Source organism: Homo sapiens, chromosome 20 (assembly GCF_000001405.40).
Source record: "Homo sapiens chromosome 20, GRCh38.p14 Primary Assembly".
In the NCBI taxonomy this organism is placed as follows: domain Eukaryota; kingdom Metazoa; phylum Chordata; class Mammalia; order Primates; family Hominidae; genus Homo; species Homo sapiens.
In genome coordinates, this window is record NC_000020.11 from 61,583,820 (window position 1) to 61,604,544 (window position 20,725).

General features: G+C 51.8%; 1 protein-coding gene across 5 annotated transcripts in view, besides 2 other annotated features; it reads left to right on the forward strand.

Annotated features, from left to right (window-relative positions):
* The window catches only part of CDH4 (cadherin 4), a 688,357-nt gene that overhangs the window by 331,559 nt on the left and 336,073 nt on the right, over positions 1 to 20,725 (forward strand). The window contains exon 1 of one of the 5 annotated variants that reach the window (NM_001252339.3): positions 15,942 to 16,170. The exons of the other annotated variants lie outside the window; for them this stretch is intronic. The gene's annotated coding sequence lies outside the window, so the exon portion shown is untranslated. Of the gene's footprint in view, positions 1 to 15,941; positions 16,171 to 20,725 lie in introns of those variants that run through there. 5 annotated transcript variants of the gene reach the window in all.
* Positions 5,924 to 6,425: an enhancer, noted in NCBI's record as "H3K4me1 hESC enhancer chr20:60164799-60165300 (GRCh37/hg19 assembly coordinates)". NCBI's record gives its function as "activates a minimal SCP1, AML or CMV promoter by ChIP-STARR-seq in naive H9 embryonic stem cells {active_cell/tissue: H9 hESC(naive)}" and the evidence as "EXISTENCE:reporter gene assay evidence [ECO:0000049][PMID:30033119]".
* Positions 14,798 to 15,530: an enhancer, noted in NCBI's record as "H3K4me1 hESC enhancer chr20:60173673-60174405 (GRCh37/hg19 assembly coordinates)". NCBI's record gives its function as "activates a minimal SCP1, AML or CMV promoter by ChIP-STARR-seq in naive H9 embryonic stem cells {active_cell/tissue: H9 hESC(naive)}" and the evidence as "EXISTENCE:reporter gene assay evidence [ECO:0000049][PMID:30033119]".

The following is a 20,725-nucleotide window of genomic DNA, read 5'->3' on the forward strand; positions in this document are numbered from 1 at the left end:
CCCGTACAGCCACACACTCCTTCAAGATGACAGAGTGACTTTTAAAATATTCACTGGGGCAGGACACGGTGGCTCACACCTGTAATCCCAGCACTTGGGGAGGCTGAGGCGGGTGGATTGCTTGAGGCCAGGAGTTTGAGACCAGCCTGGCCAACATGGTGAAACCCTGTGTCTACAAAAAAATACAAAAATTAGCCGGGTGTGCTGTTGCATGCCTGTAGTCTCAGCTACTTAGGAGGCTGAGGCATGAGACTCACTTGAACTCAGGAAACAGAGGTTGCAGTGAACCAAGATCACGCCACTGCACTTCAGCCTGGATGAAAGAGCAAGACCCTGTCTTAAAAATATATGTGCGTCAGTAGAGAGGTTCCCTGCTAAACTCCTTCTAGTGGCTTTCCTACATCAAGTCTCTAAATGTTGCAGCCTCAGACAGCTCTTGCACGTGCCTTCCAGAGTCTGGAATGTTCGTCCTGGCTTCTGGGTACTGACAGACAGCATCGTCGACCCCTGCAGATCAATATTGAGAAGGTCTCCCTCAGAGAAGCCTCTCAGACAACCTCACAAACTAGAATCCCTGCCCTTTCTGCTCATCCCAGACCGCATGCATTTCCTTCCTAGCTCTTCTCGCCCTAACAGTTCTGCCTGTTTAACAATTGACCTGTGGCTGCTTTCTCCCACTAGAAAGCCCACTCCATGGAGTGGGAGAGCCCCTGTCACATCCGCTGCTGTCTCCAGTGGACAGCAGGGTACCTGGCCACAGCCTTGGAGGTATTGGGTGCTGGGGGCACCTCGGTTGAATAAATGCATGAATAGATTTTTGCTAAAACAATGATAAAATATAACACGAGCTCAGCAGATAACCCTGTGAGAATGTGTGCTTAGTGGGGGTGGGGCATGTGGATTAGAGAAAGCTACAGGATCAAGTTTAGGGGGAAAGATAACCCTAAGGGGAAGGAAGCAGGGACCCAGAGCCTGCAGGGGGCTGACAGCTGCGAGGCTAACGCACGGGGCGCGCTGCCTGGGCCAGCAGCTCTCCCGCACTGCACACTTGTCGTCTGCAGGTCACAGTGAGACCCAGTGAGATGAGCAGGTGTCTGAATGGAGCCTGCTCCTAGGAGCAGGGGCATTTCCCTGGAAAGCCATCGCCGATGTGAGGCCCCTCCTTCCACCGCCCCTGCAGGCCTGTGGGCAACCACTGCTGCCTCTGAGAGCTCGCCAGGCCTGGCTTCCCTCCGCTTCTCCACCTGCATGTGACAGATAAGGAAAACCAGGCTTGAGAGTGTGAGAATCTTGGCTCAGGGTGACCAACACGGTAAGTGGCAGAGCTGGATCCCAGCCACAGGTCTGCTCTGAAACGTTCCAATAAAACGATCCTGCTGAAAAGCACCATCAGCATGGATGGGTGCTGTGCAGAGCAGCAAGGCTCACTCCAGCCGAGGGGCTATTGGTCATTTCCAGCGTTTTCCTTTGACCTTGGGGAAGCCCTTCCCACCCTCAGTCTTTCTTGCCACACCATCCCTCTTACAATCTTCTCCTGTCCTTCAATTCTAAACCCACCAGCAAGATTGCTTTCATTTGTTAGGGTCCTGTTTTAGGGCAGGCCTATATTATTTGATGTACAGATATTTGTGTTTTATAAAATGCCTATTATTTTGTGCCATTTCTGTCTTAATTTTCAGTCTCCATATTTAGAGGAAGCTTTATCTTTCTGATTATTTGGTCAAATTCAATTTAATAGGAATTTATTGAGAATCTATTGTTGGATACTCCCGAACTTGGTGGAGCCATTTGAGTTGATGATGGTCATGACGGTGATGGTGATGATGATGGTGATGGTGATGGTGATTGTGATGGTGATGGTGATGGTGATGATTGTGGTCATGTGGAGGATGGTGGTGATGATGGTGATGTGGTGATGGGGAGGATGATGGTGATGAAGATGATGATGATGGTGATGGTGATTGTGATGGTGATGGTGATGATTGTGGTCATGCAGAGGATGGTGATGATGGTGATGGTGGTGATGGGGAGGATAATGGTGATGAAGATGATGGTGATGGTGATTATGATGGTGATGGTGCTGATTGTGGTGATGCGGAGGATGATGGTGATGGTGATGAGGTGGTGATGAGGAGGATGATGGTGATGGTGATGATGTGATGATGATGGTGATGATGATGATGGTGATGGTGATTGTGATGGTGATGGTGATGATGTGGTGATGAGGAGGATGATGGTGATGGTGGTGATGGGGAAGATGATGGTGATGAAGATGATGGTGATGGTGATGATTGTGGTGATAGGGAGGATGATGGTCATGACGGTGATTGTGGTGATGGGGAAATGATGATGATGTTTATAGTGATCATGGTGATGATCATGATGGTGATGATAATGATATTAATCATGATCATGGTCATGATGATGGCAATTATCATGGTGATGGTGGTGATGGTGATAGTGGGGATAGGGATGGCAGTGACAATAACAGTGACAACTGCACCTAACACTCTCCAGCACTGATGGGTTTCCCAGCACAGTTCCAAGCTCTTTATGTGCATTAACTTCATTTGATCCTCCATTTCCTTTCCCAGCTGACCCCATAACCAGCTAGGGCACCACATCTTCCACAGTTATTGTGTTTCTGTGGCCTCCAGCCAGGGAGTGCCTGAGGGGGTGTTAAGGTATGGGAGACCCTGGACGTGAGGTAACTCAAAGGCAGATGCCCTTACAGTAGCCCACCCAGGTCTTAGCACATTTTCTGAAGGAAAATTAAGCAGCATTTGATCCTTCATTTGATCCTTTTGTAGACAAAAAACTTGAGGCACAGGAAGTTGATCAGCGTGACTTTACCAGGGTTGCTCAGCCAGTGAGTGGCAGAGCTGGTATCTAAACCCAGGCCACCTGGGACTATAGATCACACTCTCAATCACCATCCTGTTTGCCCTTGGAAAAGTCACCAGGTTATGGAGAGACAAGAGACACACACAGAGAGAGACAGAGTGAGAGAGTAATTAAATAACAGTTCAAAAAATAATCCACTGAGGCACATTATTTAATTTATCATTCCATAAACATCCGAGTACCTACTGTGTACTAAGCCTGGGGATAAAATCATAGATAAGCAGCCATGCCTTCACAGAGCTTGGAAGCAGAAGGGAGAGGCTGCTCTCCCAGCAGCCCCTGGGGTGAGCCGTGCTGAGGAAGAAGATGTGGCTGGGAATATCTGCAGGTCAGAGGAGGGATGTCAGCAGAGGCTGGAAATGGTGGGCACTGCTTCTCAGCATCAGTACCATTGATCCAAGTGCTGAAGAAAGGCCGAGAATCCAAGAGAGCCCAGTGGGGAGGACAAGGAGGAAGCCTCCAGGCTCGGGGCAGGGGAGAGTGGGAAACCCACGGGGAAGGTGAGGAAGGCTGAGCGCTTGAAGGGGGGCCACTGAGTGACTGGACAGGGCCGGGCAGGTGGACACTGTCAAGGGGGATGCTCTTTCTTTCTCCACCTCTGCCGTCTGGTTTCTACCATCTTCCTCATTCCCAGAGCCCCTGGGACGCCTGCCCACACTAAGTGAGGGACAGCAGGGGCACAGCCTGCTGGATTTTAAAATTAGTTTCCAAATCAGTTTGACCAAGATAACATTGAATCTGAGGCCTGGGTCTTCCTGCAGAGCTCTTAGTCCTGGGTCATCCCGTCGGAAACTGCAGTCCTGCTTCCTGAGGCAGGGTTCCAGGCCGAGCGCGGGGAGGTTAGGGCCCAGGGACAAAATGATTCCATTTTGACTCCGCTCCTTCCCCAGCTGACCCCATAACCAGCTGGGGCACCACGTCTTCCACAGCGATTGTGTTTCTGTGGCCTCCAAAGGGACCCTGGCTGTAGGGTAACTCAAAGGCGGACGGCCTTACAGTCACCCACCGTGTTCTCAGCACCTTTTCTGAAGGAAAATTAAGCAGCAGAAAGCAGCCACTTTCACTATTATTTATTGTTTTTTTAATTGCACAAGCAACACATGAGTGACTTCTCATCACTGAAAACTCAAAGTGTACAGTTCAAGCGATAATCCCCCACTCCGCCCCCGCCCAGGCCCCACGTTAAATTGATTCTCACCTCGGAGTCAACCGGCGTTTTCTGCTTCATGTGTTTACTTTCCTGTGTGGCTAAAAATGTCTGTAAAAGTGTACAGATTTGTTTTCCGTGGCATTTTAAAAACATAAATGATGTCCTGGTGCAGCTGTGCAGAACTTGCTGTTCACACTGAATAATGTGCCTTCGAGGGCCTTCCGAGAAGCCAGCGTGCAGAGACTTAGCCAAGCGCTTAGCCTGCCACGACCCTTCTGGAAATGTTACCTGTTATTATTATTAATTGTAGCAAGCCAAAATTGGGAAAGAGGCTGAACTGGGATTTGTAGACTGGGGAAAACTCCAGATTTTTAAATTGGTTTCCAAGATGGTTAAACCAAGATAACACCAAATCTAAGAACTAGGAAGGCGTAGGTCTCGCAGCCTCCATCAGTCAAGTGATTTGCAACGCTGGTCCTGCTTCCAGAAGGTCTGGGCACAGCGGGAGAGAGGCACAAGGCCGATTATTTCTCTGTTCTGTTCAGCTCGTACCAAGGACCAGCTCTAGGCCCTTTGCAGGGAGAGAAAGAAAAAAAGAAAGATCGTGAATTCTGAGTGGAGTGACCAGTTCCAGACACGAGTAGCCGTGTTTTACACACTTGGCCAATGACTCATTCCCCGCTGAGGGGAAACGTAGTCATGCTGAGATCTGTGGAGCCCGTGGCCTTTGGCTTTCTCACCCCAGGGCCCTCCCCCTCCCGAGACCACACTAGCCCGCTGCTCACCATCCCCCTTTCTCCTCTGTCTCCAGTGCGTTTATCTTTCATTCATCATTCCTCGCAAACACCACCAGCCCAAGGTGGTTCTCAGCCATTTGGCCTCCGATTCCGTTCTGTCTTTCCCGAGAAAAGCCGACAAAACCTTGCACCTCATAAATTTTAACAGCTTTTCCAACTGATGTATTTCATGTCTGAATTGTTTTATCTGTCCTACTTTGATTGTAAGCCTCGAGGGCTGAGACCTCGTCCTGTTTCATCTTCTGTACCGCTCCGAGCGCACTGTTGGCATTCTGTTCGTAAAAACACACGCGGAGATAAATATATGCAAACATCGATAATTGTTTTAGTTGGAGCCGTTTGACGACAGATCAGAGCTGTGTGTGGACCCCTACATCTGAGGCTGGAGCGTGATTTCAGGCCACCTCTTAATCTGTTCCTTGGGTATTAGTAATTTGTAAAACATGATTTATTTGCTTAGAATTTTTCCTCATAACTTTAAATGTGTGCATAATAGTAAATCTCTGATCTCTGATTAACTTTTGCCAAATAGGCTTCCCAGAGTGATGAATGCTTGTGTGGTGACTCATAAACAAGACTCAAAGCATTTGTTTAAAAAACACGAGGCTTCCTTCTGTCTAAGCATGAAGAGATGTTAAAACGAAAAAGGTTCAACTTAGACTTAAGACAGACAGAAATTAATCAGGAGTGATTTCTTCTTGGTCTGAATTTTAAATTGTTTGTGAAAGGGTAATGATCGAGCTGGCTTTGTTTTACTCCACTTCACTTTGTTTCTAATGTGTAAATTTTCAGATGCTTTTCTGCTAGAAAATTCCTCTTGGTGAATATGATGTGCCTATCCTCACATAATTCCACAAGTGGCATGCAGAAAAACAGGGTGAGTCCCACAAGAACCATCCAAAGCTCTTGCCTTCACTCTGTGTTTGCTGAACACCCACTCTGTGCCAAGTAATGTGCTGGATGGCAAGGATTCATGGTTGACATTGAAAGACAAGGTTCATATGTATATATGTGCCATGCTGGTGTGCTGCACCCATTAACTCGTCATTTAGCATTAGGTATATCTCCTAATGTTATCCCTCCCCTCTCCCCCCATATTTAACTAACCTGCACATTGTGCACATGTACCCTAAAACTTAAAGTATAATAATAATTAAAAAAAAAAAAAAGAAAGACAAGGTTCAGCCCCAGGGAGCTCCCAGACATTGCGTGGACAAACAGAGAACAGATAATCAACAGGATTAACAGGAGCGATGGGAATGGTGCTCCTTGAGAGGGGGCGGCCAGGAGGCCAGGGTCGGGAAGCAGCCGTGCCCAGCTGGGAGAGGGAGTCTCAGGCAGGGTGAGCACACAGGCCCTGGGTGGGGAAGGACTCGGTGGGCTCCCCGGACAGAGGGGAGTTGAGCCTGTCCTTGTTATTTCAGGAGCAACAGGAAGCACAGGAGCTTAAACGATTGTGGTTCCTCTGGCTGCTGTAGGGAGATGGACGTGGAGGGATGGGTGGGGGGAGGAGGACAGAGAAGTCTCCTTCAAGGAGATCCCCAGAGACAGGAATGGATGGGGATGGGGCCAGTGGCCTAGAGTTGGCGACAAAGGAGGAGACACCTAGAATACAAGCCTGAGCTGAGTCCTCTGATGGGAGATTTAAATATACTTTTGCTCGTGATCACAGGGAGCTGCGATGGCCCAGTGGGTGGGGGCAGCCCTGGCGTTTCCTGCACCTGCAGCAGGAGGGTCAGGTTCAGGCGTCTACTCACACCCGAAGGAGGGCACTCTCTCCCGATCTGCGACAGTCAGCCCAGCACCCATGGCTGACTCTTTGACAAGAGTCTTTCTTCTTTATAGAAAATAGAAACACGTGTCTGCGTGCTGCAGTCCGGAACAGTGGAGCTGCTGAAATCAGCAGATCGTCCATGGCTAGGGAGGAGAGGGGGCTGGACAGGGCCTGGAACCTTCCCTCTGCCAGGCTCTGACCTCAGGCAGCCTCCCAGCCTGGGGACTTGGGTCGGGTTTGGGAGCCCACGTTTGGCTCAGTGGGCCCGAGTCAGAGACGGGACTGCAGTTATCACACCCTTCACCTTCGTGATGGTGTTGAGTCCAGTCGTCTGGATTTGGGGATATAATTTAAATACCTGACCTTTTAAAGTGGGCACTCTAAACAACCTACAGTGAGTGCCTGCCAAAGCCTTGTCTTCCCTAAATCTATGGGGGGGGGGGTCCCCGGGTCTCCAGGCTCCAGCTCCATGTGATGCTTCCTGACATGAGGGCAGTTGGTCTCCACCGCCAATGCTGAGCCATGAACAGCATCCAGATGGCACCCTCAGAGGCCCAGGGAGATGGCTACTTTATTCCCCAGTACAAGGGCTAGCCCTACTGATAAGTACCAGGGCTAGATCCACTGATAGGTACCAGGGCTGGATCCATTGATAAGTACCAGGGCTGGACCTACTAATAAGTACCAGGGCTGCACCCATTGATAAGTACAAGAGGCGGACCCACTGATAAGTACCAGGGCTGGATCTATTGATTGACAAGTACCGGGGCCAAACCTGTTGATAATTACCATATGAGACATCAAAACCCAGACATTTGAAAAGTAGTGATTAATTTGTTTTAAACTATCAGCAATAAGCCTATTCCATGTTAACATAAGTAATGTATTTTATGAAAACAAACTGTGTTTTCCAAAACAACACCAGCTGAGTGAGACATTGGCATTGTGCTACATTTTTGCAAATCTCTTCCGTGTCTGGTGTCACAGAAGCTGGCTGGGTTCTCTGGGGTCTGCTTCTGTTTCCACTCTGTTGTGATGCATTGTTTGGGTTGAAATAGATGAAAAAAAAATCAGCCTCACTCAGGTGTGTAGATGGGAAGGGAGGGTCATTTTAATCTCCTCAGATGATTGTGGATGTTATTCTTCGATGTTACTTCAAAAGTCAACAAGAGGCAGTTTCCTGTTTCTTAAACGTTAGTTGCAGCATGAAAGCTGAAGTCGTGTCATTGAACTTCTGCTCTGTTCTGCTAAACCCTATTGGTTTCTGTTGTTCTCTGAATGGATCTTTAACCCATGCATAATTTTGTAGCATCATGGATTCATCATATGCAATTGGTTTTCTGAATTACGCAGGTCTTCCATTATACGGCAGTTTAAAAAAATGACGTTTGTTAACATCACCACCAGCCTCATCAGAAAAGTCCTTCATTATTGGGAAGCCATTGAGCTTGCCATGGCAGACACAAACTTTCCAAAATTCTAAGTTTTGCTTGAAAGCTCTGTTTGTCCTTGCAGCAAATACCGCCAACTGTTTGCCTCAAAGCAACAGACTGACGCGTTCCTTTTCAATTAGCTATCTGCCTAACAGTCAAACATGACTACCTGCTGCTTGTCTGTCAATCCTTCTTTTAAGCAAAAACAGGTTTTCCACAAAGAAGTGGCTAGTTGAGCTAGCAACTCAAAACAGTGGTTCAGGTGCTTTCCCCCAGCCATTTACTTTGGTGTGAGTTTGTCTGTACTTCCCATTTTGTCACATGGAGTAATAAGAAATATATTTAAGAGTCAAGAAGTCAAGACTTGGTACAATTGATTTCACCACTTCTACTTCACTAAGAACATTCCCTAGTGGAATGATGTTTCTCCCATGGCCCCAGCATGGTGAGGCAGAGCAAGAGGAAAACTGGGCACTGCTCAGGGCCCTGCAGTGGTTCCACAGGGGCGCCCGTCATCCATGCAAAAGTAGCCACCGTGAAAATGGCCAATGGTATGGTTTTTTAAAATCAACTTGGTTGAAATACAATTCATATGCCTTAAAATTCAGACTTGGAAAGTACAATTTATGATGATTAGTACATTCAGAGTTGTGCAGCCACCACCACAATCTAATTTTAGAACATTTTCAAAATAAAGTGAACCCCACAAGAGAAACCCCATCCCTATTAAGCAGTCACTCCCCTTTCCCCCTCCACCCTGCTTTTCCTACAGGCCCGAGATAACAACCAGTATACTTTCTGTCTGTGGATTTGCCTTTTCGGGATACCCTATGTGAATGGAGTCACTCCCACGCAGTCTTCTGGGCCACCCAGCACACTGCCGTCATGGTTCATGTGTCCAGTGTCATTCGTACTCACTTTGTTTTTATTGCAGAATCACTTCATAGTGTGGTGAGGAAGGAAAAATAATGACCCCCCAGATGTCCACGTTGTGATCCCTGGAGCCTGTGAATATGGCATGTGATGTGGCAAAGGGACTTCGTGGGGGTGACGAAGTTTAGGACCTTGAAATGATCCCGGGTTACCTGGGTGGGCCCTAAGTGCACTCACAGGGTCCTTATAGGAGGGGGGCAGGAGGGTCAGGTCAGAGAAGAAGTGGCAGTGGAAACAGAGGTCAAGGTGACATGGAAGACAAGGAAATGATTCTACCCAGAAGCCTCCAGAGGGGCACTTTAGACTCTGACCTGCAGAACTGTACGGTAATGCTTGTGTGTCAGTTTAAACCTTGGAGACTAGGGTAATTTGTTACAGCAGCAAAAGTAAACTCACACACGCTCATGGGCTACACTTTGTCCGTCCTTGCCTGGGCTGATGCACACAGGGTGTCCTCCCACTTCCTGGCTGTTAGAAGTAAAGCTGCTGTGAACACTAGTGTGCATGCATTTGTGTGGACATGTGTTTTCATTTCTCTTGGTTATACCCCGGAACTGGAATGGTGGCTGGGTCATAGGATAACTCACACTGTTCAGCATTTTCAAGAACTACCAGCCTGCTTTCCAGCATGGCTGTGCCATTTTCCATTCACACCAGCAATGCATGAGGGCTGCAGTTGATCCACATCCTCACCAACACTTGCTATATTCCAGTTTCATGTTTTAGTTTATCCCAGGGGCGTGCAGCAGTGTCACATTGTGATTTAGTAGATTTTTCAGAATGAGAGTCACTCAGTTTGCTGTATATGCTTAGGACAATTTCTAGAGATGTTGAATGGTGGATTTTTTTAAGACTTTTCACCAGTTATGGTTGTTTCTCTGGGGACGAGGTCTGTGGAAGTCCTCATGCCTCCATTCTGGAAGTCTCTTGAAGCAACATCTGAATGTTATTGTAAAGATTCTTGGACATAGTAGAACCCCCTGGGGATGCCCGGGAGTCTGGGCCGTGCCTGGCATGCAGCTGTAACATTCGTTGAGGTGCGTGCTGCTCACCAAGGGTCCCCCCAGCAGAACCCAGCACCTCCCGGGCAGGGATTGGGGTTTTGTTTGCTGAAGTCTCCCCAGTACACAGTCGACATTCAGAACCTGGTGAACGCATGGATGAAATGCTGTGACGCATGAGGAAATACAGATTCAGAGGTGGGAGAGAGGGAGGAGGGAGGGGGAGCTGAGCTGGCGGGGAAGAGGGTAGGGGGAAGGGTTGGGGAAGGGTGTGGGAACTGACCTGAGAGGGGGAAGGGGGTCAGGGCAAAGAGGGAGGGGGAGGTGAGCTGGGGGGAAGAGGGTTGGGGAAAGAGGGGGGAAAGGGGGTGGGGGACTGACCTGAGCAGGGGAAAGGGGTCAGGGTGAAGAGGGAGGGGGGCTGAGCTGAGCAGGGGAAGAGGGTGGGGGGGAAGAGGGAAGGGGGGCTGAGCTGAGCAGGGAAGAAGGTTGGGGGCCACTTCCAGTGCTGGTGCCTGACGCCCAGAGACAGGCCAGACACTGTTGCCCTAGATGCGGAGGGAGGACAGTGTGCCGCTCATTGGGCAGCCCCCACCGGGCCCACCTGGGTCTGCCCTGGCTCCTGTCACTGCCAAGAGAGGAGAACAGAACTATCACATGTGTGTCCCCTCAACGTCAACAGCAGCCGGGGTTTCCAAAACGGCATGCTGTGCATGGAAGGACTGTACCTGGGAGGGTGAGTGGGGCAGCTCAGTGGGGCTCGAGGGTCCTTCCAACCCTAGACACCTGCTGCCGCCTTTTTCTAAATTGCTGAAGACGCCACAGCCCTGTGACTCTGCTTGTGTGCGTGCTTCTAGCAGGGAGAATAAATGTGCGTCTTTAAGAAAGGGCCTAGACTTCCAGGTTAGGCAGTGAAGACGCCGCCGTGTCTGCAGAGCGCTGGGTCCCCTCGGCCCCCACACAGATACCTGAGGAAATCAAGACATCTTCGCTGACCCACAGACACTGTTGGCTTTTTCAAGACAGACAAATAGAAGGATGACATCAATAGCTGATATTCAGGGCTTTACTTTCATTATCTCATGAAGTCCTCAGTGTGGCCATTTATTAGTTCTTCATTCATTCATTCATTCATTCGCTCACTGTTTATTGAGTATCCTCTTTACCCCAGCGCTGGCCATGCACTGAGGGTGCAGTGACCGTGGGCTCCATCCGGGCACCCTGGTGCTGTCATTAGCTCGTGTTGCACAGAGTGGTTGGTCACATGTCAGGTCACGCAGCCTGTGGGCAGAGAATCAGGACCTGTGCAGCGCCCCAGGACCTCCCACCCTTGGGTCCACCTGAGCACAAAACTGTAGGCCCTTAGGCATTCCTGAGTGAACCTCCCTCTGCTGCCAATGTCTGGGTATGTCCTACCCAGCCCTGCATGTGTGAGGAGCCAAGCCCTGCTGTGACCTGTGGGCGGGAAGGACGTGCATCTGGGCAGATGGGGCCTGCCCTACCTGAGTGTCAGGTCACAGCAGAGACGTGGCTGCTGCCCTGAGCAGATTCCCTTTGCATGGAGTGTGCCCGTCAGGGCTGCCTTCCTGACAGCCTAATGAGCTGCCTGTGTTGACTGCGGGATCCTTCCCCACCAAACGCTGTCCGAGAAGTCCATGGACGGAAGGACGGGCTGTGGCAACCCTGCGTCGTGTGGGAACACCCCGTGGGGCCCTCCCTTTTGTGTCCCCTGGAACAAACAATAAGAACTGCCCAGGAGTTAACGTTTTCTGTTACTTCTTTATTGTTTTTTTAGAAAATGTTTTTGTTGATTCTTCTGTAGTCATTTAGAGAACGTTAGCCATGGTTCCGAGGCACCACGTGCATGAAAGTAGCGAGGCTCGTTTCGATACTAGAGGCGGCCCGTCTGTCTAAGCAGCGTGGTGTGTTGTTGGTACACTGCAGAGCTGGGCCACTGGATGAATTTGTGGACTACATTTTGGGAGCACGTGGGTGGGAAAGATGAACTATCAGGGACCAGGCTCCAGTGCTGACCTGAGGCAGCCATGAGCACAGTGGGGGTGAATGATTCCCGCACGGCTTCCCATAAAACCCTGCCTCACATAACGTTTGTCCATAAAGTCAATCTCCCTGGGCTCAGGGCAAGGAGGGGCCACTCGCTCTCAGCTGCACATTGCCCCTTGGGCAGCTGGAATGTGCAAGCTTGTCATGGAGCATCCTTTGGGAACACACAGCTTCTCCATGACAGAGACAGTGCCGGGACCAACTGTCCTCAGAGCATGAGGCCAAGCTGGACCCAGCTGAGTTAAGGAGTGTCCAGGCATGGGAATGGCATTCAGTGCTGGGATAAAGTATTTTTGGTCTTTACCTGTAAAGTTTTCTTTCCTCTTTCCCCTAATGACTTCCCGCCCCCTGAAAATGAAGGAATGGAAGATGTAGCTATTGACAGGTGCACGCGCACTTCTGAAAGGCATCTTGGGTAGGAGAGGGTGGTGCACAATTGGTGGCTGCCCAGGGCATGGACTGGCTCACAGGGCCACAGGAGGGGTTACTATTAGGATTGCATCATCTGACCTACACACCCAACTCATCGTGTGCAGAAAGGAAGGGTGTCAGGAGAGGCCCCCTGCACACTGCTGGGTGCATGGGGAGGGCAATGGCTCTTATGCAGGTGGAAGCAGCAAGTCTCTGGGCCATGAGTGGTGCTCATCCTGGTCCCCAATGTCTGTAAGAAAAGAGGTGGTGGAAGATCAGGGGCAGTGATCACCCTGGCTGTAATAGAAACAGTGGCTAATGTTTACTGACGGGTTGTACCACATCTTGAACACCAGCTCTGGTCTGGGTTTGGGATACAGCTGTGAACACAACAGATGAGGTCCTGGAAATGCTCAGATTTCATAATAATAATGATGAATAACATCATGGATGGGGCTGATCACTCCTCCGTGGGGCTGCCCTGGACTCCTTTCCAGACTCCTTCCCACCCAGGCATCTGCATGTCTTCTTCTGAAGCTGTTTTGTGCCCTTGATCCTATTAGCAGCCTGGTGCAGCCTGTGACCCGCCCACCTTTACATAATAATGCCTCACATGCATAAAGTGAAACACATTGACTCACAGAAGCAAATAATCATATTGGCATGTAGTTATCAAAACATTAAAAACAAGTCTGTGAGGTAGGAGCATCTTTATTAACGCGATTAGTAACAAGAGCCTTCAGTGGGCCTGATAAATGTGGTGATTTCAAGGTGGTGCCAACTATAAACTAAATGTCAGATCATCTGCAACTGTGCTGGGAGATGAGCACTCACAGGAGGCTGCTGTTTTCCTGGCGTGGTGCCCACATTCATAACAGAAGGAAACATTAAGTAAGAGGGGAATAAAAGAGGTGAATTTGTTGGTCGTCCAAGTTCACAGAGCCCTGGGTTCCATCCCCCGATCTACAGACTGAGAACCCTTGGCCCAGAAGGTCTGTTCCCTCCACCCTGCACCCACCTCTTGCCTCTGTGCCCCCTGCGCTCCTTTTCCTTGGCATCTTTGCAAGCCCCGCTCACCTTGGGGTATACAAGGATTGTGCCTGTCCCCACATCGTCCTCACCACCCTCTGCCTGGATTTGTTTTCTGCCTCCTGGCCAGCCTGGCTGCACCTTCCACCTTCCCCAGTACAGATTCCCCAATACCCCAGCTGCCCATACCTTCTGGCAGATCCAGAGAGCCCTGTCCTGGGGCATCAGGGCGAACAGAGGGGCCGGTTACTTCATGCATCTGCACAGGATGGACCGGGCGAAGCAGGCAGGGCTCTGCTGAGGAGAGGGAGGGGCAGAGAGGCAGAGCGGCCCAAACAGGACAGGCAGGGCCTCCTTGGGTGGGTGGGAGGCAGGGGCAGCTTCAGCAGGGGTGCGCCTTCAGCGACTCTCACAGGAGAGGGGCAGGGTGGCCCATGAAGGAGCCACATCAACCTGAGGTCAAAAATGTTCATCCAAAGTGGACAAAACAATGAAAGAGCCAACCACAAACAAGACCAAGCCTCAGATGCAGCCGGGCGTGGAGTGAGCCTCAGAGGGCAGGGACGGAACCCACCAGAGACTGAAGGGCAGGGTGGACCAGCAGAGAACTCTTTCCTTTTTCCTATTTTCTCCAAGTTTTTGCTTTAAACACTTATTCATTTTGTAATTAGAATATGTTTTCCTAAAAAGCCCCTTTAGGGCTCCTGAATTGTCAGCAGGTTAAATCCCAAGCCCCTTCCCACCTCCGTCTCAGTGAACACATGCCAAGCTCTTGTCAATGGCCAGACACGCCGGGCACTGTGGGGGTGATGGTGACCCGCCGGGGACTTGCCTCTTGGGGGCATGCTGGATGGGAAGACCCCACTGCCCTCTGATCTGCTGAATTGCTGGGATGTTTTCCTTCTAGCACCTTCCAGGAATTGGCTGCTGGGACCTCTCCAAGCCCCTCCCACCCACCGGCCTGCCTGCTTCCCATGCCTGCCTCCAACACCAGCCCCTGCCACCCCTGCTCCCTACTGGGACCCCACCCCCCCGGCCACTGTCACCTCAGGGGCTGCTCCAGAGGTCATGCACCCCCCAAAACCCCCAGCCCAGGACCTCAGCAGAGCATGCTCCTCCCTCCTTCCGTACTATGGCTCCTGCTATCTGTGGCCTCAGCACTCGCCTTTCAGCCAGAGCCACACCCCCTCCTGAAACAAAAGGGACCTGAGTGGCCGAAACAGGGAGTGACGACCCCTGCGGTGCCGGCAGTAAGGTGTGGAGATACCCCTTTCCAGAATCGCGTGTGGGGAGGATGTGCAGAGGGAGCCCCCACCTCCCACCCGACCCTGGGACCAGTTTTCCTGTAGAACGGGGACTTTGCCGTCTGTGCCTTAGCCACAGGCCAGATCTCATCGTGTTTCTCACCCTCTTCTCCACGCGTCCCAGAGGCCAGGCTTGCTGACGCACCCGAGGGACTGGCTGCGGGGCACCCCACATGGCGGGGTCCTCCATGGAAGTGTGGTCGGAGTACCCGAGGCCCCTTCCCTACTGCAGGCACTGCCCGCCAAGCTTCCCTGGATGGCTCCTCCAGGGCTGACACTGCGCAGCCTGGGCGTCTCTGCGGTCAGTGAGGGTCGCCTTTTTTATGAGCATCTTGAGGTCCGTTGGGCTAACACGAGTCCCTCAGTGGTCATGGGAGAAGCCTCAGGTTCTGTCAGTGTTGCCTCTCCCTTTTGAATAAATTTGACGATGCTGACTTCTTGACACCACGTCCCTGGGAAGTTCCCACTCTCCTTTTCAGGGACCTCCAATCCGCCCCTGCAGGTTGGTGGATCTCCCACCATGGTGCTGCCCCTAGAGGTCGCTCTTGGAGAGCTGGCTTCGTTTCCATGTCCTGCTGATCACTCCCACCCCGCCCTGCCATGCCATTCACCATCTCTGCAGCCAAGGGCTGTGCCCTCTTTCACCCGGCTGAGCGGGCAGCTGTGCCGGGTGTCGGACTGGGGACCTCCTTCTGCTGGGGGACTCTGCAGACAAGAGGGGGCACGCTGGATGGATGTGCCTGAGGGACAGGCAAGTGTCAGGTGGCAGAGCCAGGCCTCGGCCCTGCCCTTTCTCACCCACAATGTGAATTCATCAGCACCCTGAGTGTGCACTCAGCAAGGGCTTTCCAAAGGCCGACCCTCCTGACCCCCCTGACCCCACTGTGGCTGGAGGTGTGGGGAGCAGCAAGGGGATACGTGGAAGACAGACCTAAGCCGGCCAGCCTCCCAGGCGGGGCAGCCCCCAGATCAGTGCAGGAACATTTCAGCAGCGCAGGCAGGCGGCATTTCCCTCCAAGACAATAGCCCTGTCCCAGTGAAAGACACAGAGTGGAGAAGCCTCTCGCGTGGTCTCTGCGTCTGGGCTCCTTCATCTGCCGAGGCCCCGCTCCTCCTCCTGACGCGGCTCTGCCTCTCCCACGCACTGGCGCTCTGGCTTTCTTCTTTCTCCCTCTGCCTTAATGATGCTGCCCCTTTCCTGTTCCTGGTTGAAGCTGAAGCCCGCTTCCCTTCGCCGCACACAACACAGGAGCAATCTTCTCAGCCGTGCACTCACAGCTTGGAAAATAAAGGGAGGAAGGAGTCCCAGCCACAGGGTAGAGGAACGGCCTCTCCACAGAGAAGCTGCTGCTGCTGAGCTGAAGTGACAGGTACCCCGTGCTAATGATGGGGAAAGTGTGAAGGGTTTATTATAATTTAAGAGCCTCTCTATTTGAACAGACTGTCTGACTCTCCGGGGATGGTTTTCAAAACCAGCTGGCTCCTCGGATGCTGCTGAGAATGAAATGGGGAAGCCGTGAGAAAGCAGCACAGGTCCCGCGCGAGGGCGTGGCGGTGAGGCCGCTGCTGCAGAACCGGAGGCCTGTGCATCTAATTTTAGTGAAGAATGTTATGGAGACAGAGGGTGTCGGGGTCAATGATCACCTGGATTCCGGGATTCCTTGCTTTCCCAGCTGTGAGCGTGCCGTATTTCCCAGGGTGGGGATGGCCCAGTGTCCTCTCTGCAGCTCATCTCCTGCGAGGCACAGGCATGTTGTGATTGAGGACACAGGCTTCGGTGCCTGGCAGGGTCCTTCGGGGTCCTGGCTCTGGGGCCTTGAGGGAGTCACTCTAGTGGCTGAGCCTGAGCCATCTCTGCAACGGGAGCCATAGTGGTGCTCAGGTGGCGGGACAGCGGTGAGAATCTAATTCAGAAATGAATGCCCGCAACTCACCCTGCGCAGTGCCTCAGCCCAGGAAGCACTCAGCCAGCCACTGCTGTCTTCACAACTATTGTCCCTCAGGGGATTCATTCCAGGCCCGCCCCCAGGGGTATTAAAATCCGAGGATCCTTAAGTCCCTTGTATAAGAAGGCATAGTATATGCAAGTAACCTACACACATCCTTTGTATACTTTAAATCAACTCTAGATTACTTATAATGCCTAATATAATCAAAGTGCTATGTAAATAGTTAGACTGTGTCTTTTATTATTACATTGTCACTTCATATTTTTTTAAATATTTCGGTCCTCAGTTGGTTGAATCTGCGGGTGCAGAACCCGCGGGTGTGGAAAGCCAGCTGTATCTTACCATGACCCTGTGGACTTGTTTCCAGTCCTGCCTGCTGTCTGGCGAGCTCCTACTCAGCCTTAGGCACCTTGCCTGAGTGCCCTTCCCTGAAACAGCTTCCCTTGTGTGTTAGTCTGTTCTCGTGTTGCTATAAAGACATACCTGAGGCTGAGTGATTTATACAGAAAAGAGGCTTAATTGACTCATGGTCCTGCTGTACAGGCATGGCACCGGCATCTGCTCAGCTTCTGGAGAGGCCTCAGGGAGCTTTTACTCATAATGGAAGGCAAAGCGGGAGCAGGCACCTCACATGGTGATAGGGGAGCACAGAGGGGGAAGGTGCCACATACTTTAAACAACCGGCTCTCATGAGAGCTTACTCACTGTGGTGAGGACAGCACCAAGCCACAAGGGATCCCCATGACCCAACACCTCCCCCCAGGCCCCACCTCCAACACTGGGGATCACAGTTCAACGGGAGATTTGGGTAGGACAAACATCTAACCTGTGTCCCCTGGCTTCCCTCCTCTGGTGCCCAGTGCCCCACACCCCTCACCTGTGCCCTCCCTGCAGATCTCCGGAGTCACCTGGGCAGCCTGCGGCCCAACACTGCGGTGCTCCTCGTCAGCCCCGGCCTAACCCTCGGCCCTGCTCTTCCCGGGGCCTGTTCAGATGCCCGCCCGCTGCCCACCATGCACCCTCTGCCCTCCTGTGTGTGTGCCCACCTCTCCCACAATGCTGCAGAGTCCAGGGGAGGGAAGGCAGAGACTGGGCCCTGTCTGGCCTTTCCCTGGTCTCAGTTGAGTTGCACCTGGCGGGGCGCATGCAGCCCATTCTTCACCACCCAGGTCTGTGCAGAGGAGATGGATGCATTCCCTTCTATGGGCGTTTGTTTAGGCCAAGCTCAGTCCACCAGTCCTGGTGCCCGTGGATGCCCACAGGGGCTGCACAGCTCCATTCCTCAGCATCCAGAAAGCAGTGTCGCGTTCAGTTGGAAACAGCTCTGTAGAAAAGTCAGCCATAAATATGAGAGACAGGAGCATACCAGGAGGGAGGAGAATGGCAGGACACCGTCTGCCCTGACGCATGCCCACAGTGCCGCCCAGAGCCAAGCTGCAGGACGCCAAGGTAGGGGCTGGCAAAGCGTTTGACTCCCAAGAATGCACCTTCTCCGGGGGTGGAGCTGCGCCGTGCCCTGCTGCCTGGCCCATACTGGGGGCTGCTGGCGATGCTTTCTGGTGAATGCAGCAGGTCCTCATCATGTGCTGGGCTCGGAGGGTGTCCAGCTGAGCCCTCCCAGGTTAGGGGATGCTGCCAGCACCCTCGCTGACACCCCAAAGCACACATTTTATCGCAAGGTTCTTGCTGCATTTCAGCGATGGGCTCACTACATCACGCAGGCAGACACCCGGTCCCCAGTAGGGTGGAAAATGAGAGGATGACCTTAAACTTCCAGAAGGAAACTTGCTCTGAAAATGACCAGGTCCTCAAAGGAAACTCACATGTCTTAACTTCCGGGACTCCACTGTCATGAACAGCTGGATGGACATCTTGGTGTAACAGGCCTTGCTTAGGAGGGAAACGAAGCAGCTGAAAAAGAAACAAATCAATAATAATAACAGTAAAAATAGCCATAACACAGCCTACACTTCTGAATTTTGCAAGCCTCATTCTTTGGGGATGTTTTGGTGAGCTGGAAGGAGGAGCAGAGGGAAGCTCATTCCAGCTCTTTGGGGAAAAACCCTGAAGCTGCAGCCCGTTCTCTGCGTCGCTTTCTGATGCTGGGTTTATACATTCACTTTATTAAAAAAAAAAAAAAAAAAAAAAAAAACTTGAGCACCTCCTGTCTCCCAGGTGCTGTGTGTGCCAGGCCAGCACCAACATCATGAAATGATTTCGGAATTGTGCCTGGCCTGGTGAGCGCACACAGAGGAGCTGCTTACTGGGGTACACGCCCGCAGGGCATTTACTTGATGAACGTGTTACGGTTTCGCTTCTCAGTGTGGTCTCCAGACCAGCGAATGGAGAGCCTTAGAGATGCAGCACCTGAGGCCCCCTCCCTGGACTCATTTTCACCAGCTCCTGCGTGATCTGCAGGCGTCTTAGAGAAGCTTTGGATTAAGCAACCATTTTGCACCTTATACCGTGCAAGGCACTAAGGATACACGTTGGGAGCGCCATGGCCCCTGCCCTCAGAAGCTCTCAGTCTAGTTCAAGAGGTGGCTAAACAGAAGCACAGTTTTTTATTCTCTGGGCACCCCTGTGAGCCGAGTCCAGCTCAGGGCACTGGGGTGTGGCCAGGGATGACACGGAGTCCGTGTCACAGAGTTCCCACTCTGGTTGGGAGACAGATAGGGAAGTCAAGTCCGTGGAGAGTGTTTGCAGGAATGGTGAGTGTCATGGAGAAAACAAAGCCAGGTGATGGGGTGGAGTCTCCAAGGTGGGGCAACCAGGGCCCCACACCACTCCGGATGGCCCCTGCAGAGACCCAGCTCCCTAGGGAAGCTGGCTGCAGACAGATCTGGACGAGGAGACTCTAGGAAAACAAATGCAGGCAGGCAGTTGGGCGGCTGTTTTGGGAGCCAGGAGAGGGTTCCTGCTGGAAGGGAGGCAGGGCCAGGCTGTGGAGGCCAGGTGTGCCCTACCAGGTGTGGGAGGGGAGACCCAAAGCACAGGGAGCAGAAGGGCCCATCCCGGGCCCTCACCTGCTAGGTCCCATTGTCCCCTTCACTCCATGCCCACCCCGTCTGCCCAGGGCAGGCTCTCAAGTGTGCAAAGTGCCAATGGAGCACAGAGAAGTGAGCAGCAAAGTGCCTGGGGTGCCAGTGGAGGCTTCCTGGAAGAGGTGACATTTGAGCTGGGTCAGGAAGCCTGCCTAGGTGTTCTCCAGGTAGAATAGGAAAGGGCTCAATGCCTGTGACCTTTTGAGTACTAAATGAGAAAATAGGGGAAAATAGGGGAATAGATAATGTGGGAAAAGCATCAGGGACATAGTAAGCCCTGGGAGTGTTCATATACACATGTGGGTATGCAGTACACACACATGCATGCACATAGGCACACACACATGTACATGAGCAGGGACATACGCTGATGCACACACACACGTGATTGATCCTTCTTTAAAACCCACAGGGAACTACCGCAATCCCCGTGGCCAGCTCCCTGCCGAGCCTCCCCTTACCCACATCCTAACAGAGAGCCTGGGTGTTGTTTAGATGCTGTTAACTCCCAGTCCAAAGTGCTGATGCCATTGTTTCCTTCCCGATTAGCTTTTGTGTCCAAAGCTAAGAATACAATATTTTTAGGCCCTGGAGGAAGAATCCTGAGTCAGTGACTGTCTCCGGAGTAACAGGCCCAAAAGCTTCAGTCGAGGCCGAGATGCAAACTTCATTATAGTATCTGCCCTGGCGGCAGCCGCAGCGCCTGTCTTTGCACCTAATGGGCCTTTTTGGACAGTGACGATGATCTCCGATGAGTTATTAATACTGTGATGCAGCTTGAATAATTGCAAGAAAAGCACAGGACTCCAAATGGGAACATACCTGGCAGTGGAAGAAATGCTTCCTTGGCCTCTCCTTTCAGCATATTCCCAGGCGAGAGGCCAGCCGAGATGAGATTTGCTTTTAGGGTATTTTCAGCATTTCAAGTCTTG